Raw genomic sequence first — 8372 nt, 5'->3', positions numbered from 1 at the left:
TTTTCCAGGGTTACATAGTTGTGGAACCTGAGTTTAGAATAGTTAAATAATTATCTCCAGGTAAAAACTAAGATTATATCTGTGCTATCTAACCCTATACTGACCCTGAAGCTAACTTACAGAGAGAGTCCAGGAAAAGAAAAGTAAATGAGAACTGAGCTTTTTAAGTTAGAAATTTTAAAAAAGTACATAAGAATCTACGAAGTAAGGTGGTAAAATACTGTAAATAAACTCTGCCTACTTTACTTTTTTGCTTGGGACCAGTACTTGTACTTAACACAAAACTCAACCTAGATGCTTATATGCTTATATAAATAAGCCTAATCAGAAGCAGTTGTGAAAAACTGTTAATCATGTTTATTAAAATTTACTCACCTGATGAATCTTCCAATGTCAGAAGCAAGGGACAGCCACTTAGAAATTACAATTGGGTACAAGGAGAATTAAATTATCTATTTTAAAGAATGACCACATATGATAATTTAGTTTAACACAATAGGTTCTATCAGTAAACATTATCATAGTAATGTTATTTATTATTTATCTTCTTTGAAATGTTCTTCTGATTAAAATTAGGAATAAACAAAGTCTAGATTTATGGACTGAATGTATAGATTAGCAGCTACCTGTCTGTCCTAGAATATTGTAGGTTATAGACTGTCCAAGGTGTGTTTAATTTAGAACGAAAGTAAGAAATTTCAGATGTCTCTAAATGCAGTCATTTCTCACATAAATCTTACTGTTCCAAAGAAGAATAAGTATCTAATAAATGTGATGTTATTAATCCTTATTATTCATAGGTGGATATTACACATATAACAATTTATATTAAATCAAATAAATGTTTCTAGTCCCTGAATAGGATGACATTAATAGCAAGACATAAGATACTAAAGTGAATGCCCTCAAAGAAGAAACATAGTCAAACAGGTATTGAAATGATTCCGGGAATTCATTTTCATATATCTTACACTTCTTTTTTGTTTTTAAATTTTTGTGGGCACATATTAGGTGTATATATTAATGGGTATAGGAGATATTTTTATATAGGCATACAATGTGTAATAAATAATCACATCAGGGTAAATGGGGTATCCACTATTTCAAGCGTTTATCTTTGTGTCACAAACAATCCAATTATACTCCTATTTTAAAACATACAATTAAGTTATTATTGACTATAGTCATCCTGTTGTGCTAGCAAATACTAGATCTTATTTGTTCTAACAATTATTTTTCACCCATTCACTATCCCCACTTCCCCCACATCCGCCCACTACCCTTTCTCAGCCTCTGGTAACCATCCTACTCTCTTCCTCCAGGAGTTCAATTGTTTTTAATATTTAGCCTCATTTATGTAGATAGTAAAATCTTTTTTGGTGAGCATAATAAATTACATTCTATTAAATGATATTTTATTACTAATGACAATTTTAGTATCAAATTTACAGGTTTGATAATATTGAAATATATAAATGTAAACATATGACAGCCCAAAGTGAGAGATTCTAAACCCTTTATATAGTATGAAAATAATCCTATCTTAACATAAAGTTTAACAAACAAATATAATGTCCTCATTAACTGCTTCTCCACAATATCTTACAAGATCCTGAAATATCACTCACCCCTTCTGCAAAGTCCTGATAATCCTGCATGTACCTGGTGAATATGGCCTCCTGTCATAGCTGATTATATCAAAAATGAACTGAGGAGCCACTGGAGCCAAGCAGAGACTCAACCAAAGGTTACTAACATCAATTTCATGAGCTGGTGGTGAGCACTGGACCTGAAATGTCATAAGGACTTTGGGCCATGTTTGTTCATTTTCATTGCAATATACTCTGGCCACAGCATGCCAGTGAGTATGTGAGTCTGCAGAAAGCAGCTGAGAAATTAACCTGACTCAAAAAGATAACAGAGAGGAGACCATCAGAGATGAACTGCCTAGAAATTTATCAGTTTCTGTGACCCATCTCTCACCATCACTAACCTTTCAGATTAAAGCAGTAAGGATAGTTTCCTATTATTTGTAACTGACTTTATACTATTTACAAAATTTTTATTTAAAATAAACAAGAATAACAAAAAAATTCTAAAGTAAGAAATTAAATGGGGTAGTAGTCAATTTGAATAAACTCTACAAGATTCAGATAATAAACTTTGTGAGCTAGCATTTAAAAATTTGAAACAGTTCTAAGCTAAGCTACCAGATGTATAGAGTAATTTAATGTGGATACAAATAAAAATATAGTCCATCCCTGAAAGACTAGGCTAAAGAAATCAATAATATATTTCATAATTACTTAAAGAATAGTAAATGTGTTTATACACGTTTAATTAATATATCAGAAAACAGAAAAAATGAAACAATTATTAAAAAGATCACGAGAAACATAGATAAAATAAATAAAATAAGAAATAAGAAATAATAATATGAGGCCAGGCCTGGTGGCTCACACCTGTAACCCTAGCACTTCGGGAGGCCAAGGCAGGAAGATAACGAAGTCCAGAGATTGAGACCATCCTGGCCAACATGGTGAAACCCATCTCTGCTAAAAATATGAAAATTAGCCGGGCATGGTGGCATGTGCCTGTAATCCCAGCTACTCGGGAGGCTGGGAAAGGAGAATCGCTTGAACCCGGGAGGTGAAGGTTGCAGTGAGCCGAGACCACACCACTGCTCTCCAGCTGGTGACAGAGCGAGGCTCCGTCTCAAAAACAAACAAACAAACAAAAAACAGAAAGAAATAATAGTATGAAACTAATAACTTGACAAATGTAGAACCAAATGTAATTAATTTATGTGATTATCAGAATAACTTTAAAAAGTGAGTGTCCATATTTTCAAGAACATGCATGACATTTTCCACAGTTGGCCATTTGTTGGTGTATAAAGCAAGTCTTAACAAATTACAAAGGATTGAAATCATTCAGTGAACACTATTTGGCATCAGTGAGAAAAATCAATTTTAAAAAAGAAAGAAAATCACCAACAGCTTGGAAATGCAGCAACTTATTCTAAATAATAGGACAAAATTGTAAAAGAGTCACAAATAAAATTAGAAGATATTTTGTCCTGACTGATAATGAAAATATGATATATTGAAACCCATTAAATGTAGCTAAAGAATCGCTTTGGAGTTGGGGAGTTGAATAAAGCCTTAAAGATCTCTTGAGAGAAATTCGTAGACAAAGATAGAAAGTCTTCAAAGCAGTGATCTAAGATTTAATTTCAAGATGCTACAAAGGAAAAAAGAGAACAACTTTCAAACAGTAAAAACAAAATAATAAAAAGCATAAAAAAAAATAAAAAGCATACAATACAGAACAAAAAGTCCAGTACAGTTTAAAAACATATATTAAATTGGTAAACCTTACCAATATTGTTCAAATCCAAAATAGAAAGATTACCCAAAAAACACAGCATCACTATAGATACTAAGAAAATATCAACTTTGAACCAATATTTTGAAAGTGCAGATGAAATGGACAAATTTCCTGAAAAACATAAATTAACAAAGAAACAAATAGAATTCTGAGTAATTTGTTATCTGCTAATGAAATTAAATCTTATTAAAAACTTTCTTACCATGAAAATTTGAAGCCCAAACAACTTTGTCAATGGATTCTACTAAATATTTTAAAAAGCAGTATCACCAATTTTTACAAATTCTTGCAGAGAATAGAAACAGAGGGAACTATTTCCTAATTTTACGTCACAATTTTAAACTGAATATCAAATCCTAACAAAGAACATACAACAATGGTGACAACCATCTGTACATCCAACCTACTCATGGATATAGATGTTAAAACTTTGAATGAAATATTAATAAATCAAGTCTAGTGATAAAGAAAATCAGTAATTTACCATAAGGAATTGGAGCATATATTGCCATAATGGACAGGTGTTTTAACTATTTGAATAGCAATTAATGTAATTCATCACATTCATATGAAGAATGAAAAAATCCTATTTTCTTAACAGAAATACTGCTATTAACAAAGTAGTCATTTCAGGGAGCTTTCTTAATGTAATAAAAAGGTATCTAAAAAAGAAAAAATATGAATTAAATAGTCACACATAATATATAATTATTGAAATCATTTCCACTTGAGATACTTCAAAGAATATAACCATATGACAATGAAAATGAACCCATATTAATTATGTGTTTGAAAATGCAAATTAAAACCAAAATGAAATTCTATCAAAACACACACCAGAATGTCTAAAATGGAAAAGTCAGTAAATATGGTTTATCAATGAACATATGAACAGGTAGAGCTCTTACACTGCTGGTGCATAGCTAAGTAGGCATATCCATTTTAAAAAACAATTTGGACCTATACATATCTGACAGGCTTCAATTCTATTCTTGAGTATACACCCCCACCTAAATGAAACAAGGGATGTGGATTAAAATCTTTACAACTACTATTTTTTTTTTTTTTTATTATACTCTAAGTTTTAGGGTACATGTGCACATTGTGCAGGTTAGTTACATATGTATACATGTGCCATGCTGGTGCGCTGCACCCACTAATGTGTCATCTAGCATTAGGTATATCTCCCAATGCTATCCCTCCCCCCTCCCCCGACCCCACCACAGTCCCCAGAGTGTGATATTCCCCTTCCTGTGTCCATGTGATCTCATTGTTCAATTCCCACCTATGAGTGAGAATATGCGGTGTTTGGTTTTTTGTTCTTGCGATAGTTTACTGAGAATGATGGTTTCCAATTTCATCCATGTCCCTACAAAGGATATGAACTCATCATTTTTTATGGCTGCATAGTATTCCATGGTGTATATGTGCCACATTTTCTTAATCCAGTCTATCATTGTTGGACATTTGGGTTGGTTCCAAGTCTTTGCTATTGTGAATAGTGCCGCAATAAACATACGTGTGCATGTGTCTTTATAGCAGCATGATTTATAGTCCTTTGGGTATATACCCAGTAATGGGATGGCTGGGTCAAATGGTAGAAACTACCATCAGAGTGAACAGGCAACCTACAACATGGGAGAAAATTTTCGCAACCTACTCATCTGACAAAGGGCTAATATCCAGAATCTACAATGAACTCAAACAAATTTACAAGAAAAAAACAAACAACCCCATCAAAAAGTGGGCGAAGGACATGAACAGACACTTCTCAAAAGAAGACATTTATGCAGCCAAAAAACACATGAAGAAATGCTCATCATCACTGGCCATCAGAGAAATGCAAATCAAAACCACTATGAGATATCATCTCACACCAGTTAGAATGGCAATCATTAAAAAGTCAGGAAACAACAGGTGCTGGAGAGGATGTGGAGAAACAGGAACACCTTTACACTGTTGGTGGGACTGTAAACTAGTTCAACCATTGTGGAAGTCAGTGTGGCGATTCCTCAGGGATCTAGAACTAGAAATACCATTTGATACAACTACTATTTTTTAACAGTTAAATATATTCAGATCCCATAGTTTACCCATTGAGTGTACAATTAAGCATTTTTTAGTATGTTCACAAAGTTGTGCAAACATTACATGTAATTTTTGAACATTTTAACAGAAAAAAAAGAAAGAAAAGGAAAAACACCCTGATATTCATCAATGGTGGAATGATTAAATAGTAGGATATTCTTAAATGGAATAGTATTCAGCAATAACAAACTAGCTACACTTACATGTAACAGAATCGATGGTTTTCACAAACTTTGAACAAAGCAAGCTAGACACTGTGTGGTTCCATTTATATAAACTAAAAATTGTAAAAACGCATCTATTGGCTGGGCACGGTGGCTCACTCCTGTAATCCCAGCATTTTGGGTGGCCGAGGTGGGAGGATCAAGAGGTCAGGAGTTCGAGACCAGCCTAACCAACATGATGAAACCCCGTCTCTACTAAAAATACAAAACTTAGCTAGGCATGGTGGTGCGCATCTGTAATCCCAGCTACTCAGGAAGCTGAGGCAGGAGAATCGCTTGAACCCAGGAGGCAGAGGTTACAGTGAGCCAAGATCGCGCCATTGCACTCCAGCCTGGGTGACAGAGTGAGACTCTTGTCTCAAGAAAAAAAAAAAAAAAAAAGGAACAATGCATCTATTATGTTACAAATCAGGATGGTGTTTACTTTGTGGTGTAGATAGTAAATGGAAAACAGCCAAAGCCATGAGTGATCCTCAGGGGATGCAGAAAAAGTTCCATTTCTTGATTCAGGTGCTGGCTGCATGGAAGTATCAATTTGGTGAAAAATCATGGTGCCTCCTGGGTACAATTGATAGAAGTTTTTCTGTGAGTACTGTATGTCAATACAACATTTACTTAAATTAAAACAGAGGGGTACTATTAAGCTAATATTATTACTGGTCTTTAATAGCAATTTTTCATGTCCCAAAGCAAAAACCGATTTCTGAATTCCATCATTCTCTATATTGTTTCCCCATTTGAATGCTATTTAAATGCCAAGGGCTAATGTTAGAACAGTCATTAGTTACAGAATTATAGTTGGAGATAAGAACTTCTTGTGCATGTACTGGTTTTTCTTTATGAATATTGTTTGTTTTCCAGTTTACACTGAGCTATGAAACTAAAATCCTTGTGATTTATACATATGTAATTTATTTGTGAATAAAACATATGGCTGAATACAAAGGTAAATATTTCCATTACTTGGAAATATAAAAGGACACTGTCTTCATGAAATTATTTTTGAACACTTGATTATGAATCTTTTATCACAGGATCTTAATATTTTGATTGCCGAATCATCATGCAGAGTACTTGAATAGATTATATTTTTCCAAAAGCAGTGTCAAATGGAGTACATATCTGTAGACAGTCATTGTAAGCTAATAATTACTAGCTTTAATGCTCAAGCATGAATCCCATTTTGGAAATCTTTTCTTGGGTCATTTTGAAAGCTCCTGCCACGAAGCCTGGCGTTCACACTTGCAGACCCTGCCAGGGAGAAACATCAATATCCATTCTCCATTCTTTTTTTCTCACAGATCCTCAAAAGCAATGGCAGCTTGATTCAATAAACTCTAAGACTCCACTGAAGCCAGCCACAGTGCCCAACCTGCAAAGGACTATCAGGCCCACAAAGGCTCACGGTCTGCAGATAGAGAAAAATGTATGCCAAAATGTCACAATGCAGCCTGATTTACAATAGAACACTGTAAAAGGTGATGCAAAGGAATGGAGGTATGGCGGAACTTGAGGACACAGTTCTCAGTCATGTCATCATTGTAAACAACTTTCTTAGGACATGAAAGTTCGGCTCACAAAGCTGGGATTACAAGCACGAGCCACCACCATGCCCAGCCCTCAGTATTTATCCATGTATCCAGTCACTCCTTCAATTAGCCTTCATGTATTTATTTAAACATGATCTTTATGCTCTGACCGTGTTTCCGACATTGTGATAGGCACAGCACCACTTGTTCTGAGTTGTGACTCTCGTCTGTCGGCTTTACATTCTCCCTCTACTTTTGTTTCCTGTTTCATTGGAGTTGTAAACCCACCAAAAATCAAAACTAAACAAGTAAACAAAATAGCACACCACCAATAACTAAACTCTCTCCACACATTCCTTTGAGCTGCCTTTCTAAGGGGGCTTGTCAATGGGAGGCTTATCAGGCAAATGGAAGGAGAAAGAAGGGAAATATTTTTCTGCTACTTGTGATGCCAGTGTCTGTAACTGAACGTGATGAGTGATGGGGTCTGGAGGCTCAGCAGGAGAGTGGCCCCCTGTTTTCTGCTCATTGCAGATGCTTTTCCACTAGCAACTATACTAGACTCTCTAGCAAATTAGTGGTCTCTGTGGGCACCGGGTTTCCATCCAAACATTGGAAGCTTCATGATGTTTGGTAATAACTCCTTTTTCCCTTTTCTCCTTTGGCTCTTCCAACACATTCATAACCAAATCATATATGAAAATTCCCTGGATTAAAAATATCTAGGGGAGTTTCTCTTTCCCTAAGTGGACTCCAGTGGGTGAAAGAATGGTAGAGGAGAGTGAAATTGATTCCAATTCAGTAATTTTACACCAGGGATTCAGACACTAGATTAAATTAGAAAATGTATGTTTCATATGTGATATATTAGCAATCACTATCATTATCGTCTAAGTTATAGAAAATAGCCTAAAACCATCATTTTTAATTTGAATTTTTAGTTATTTTATCTATTAACAAGTATTAGAATTTTTACTCTATTCAAATGATTTATTACTAAATAATCCCCTGAATACTTTTATAGTTTATATACCATGTAGCTTTATAGACTCCTGAACACAGATATTTTTTTAGAGCTGAGAGGTAGTAAAAACTTTAATATGAATCTTTTTCTTAAATTTTCCTCAACAAAAATGGGAAG

At 34.4% G+C, this 8372-nt stretch overlaps 1 annotated feature.

The window, feature by feature from the left end:
- Positions 432 to 601: an enhancer, noted in NCBI's record as "experimental_49782 CRE fragment used in MPRA reporter constructs". NCBI's record gives its function as "activates a minimal promoter by MPRAs in K562 erythroleukemia cells, with activity observed for both the introgressed and non-introgressed 18:69028668 variant alleles {active_cell/tissue: K562}" and the evidence as "EXISTENCE:reporter gene assay evidence [ECO:0000049][PMID:34662402]".

Source organism: Homo sapiens, chromosome 18, assembly GCF_000001405.40.
Source record: "Homo sapiens chromosome 18, GRCh38.p14 Primary Assembly".
Taxonomy (NCBI): Eukaryota; Metazoa; Chordata; class Mammalia; order Primates; family Hominidae; genus Homo; species Homo sapiens.
Note: the sequence above shows the minus strand (reverse complement) of the source record. Positions and strands in the feature narration are given on the sequence as shown.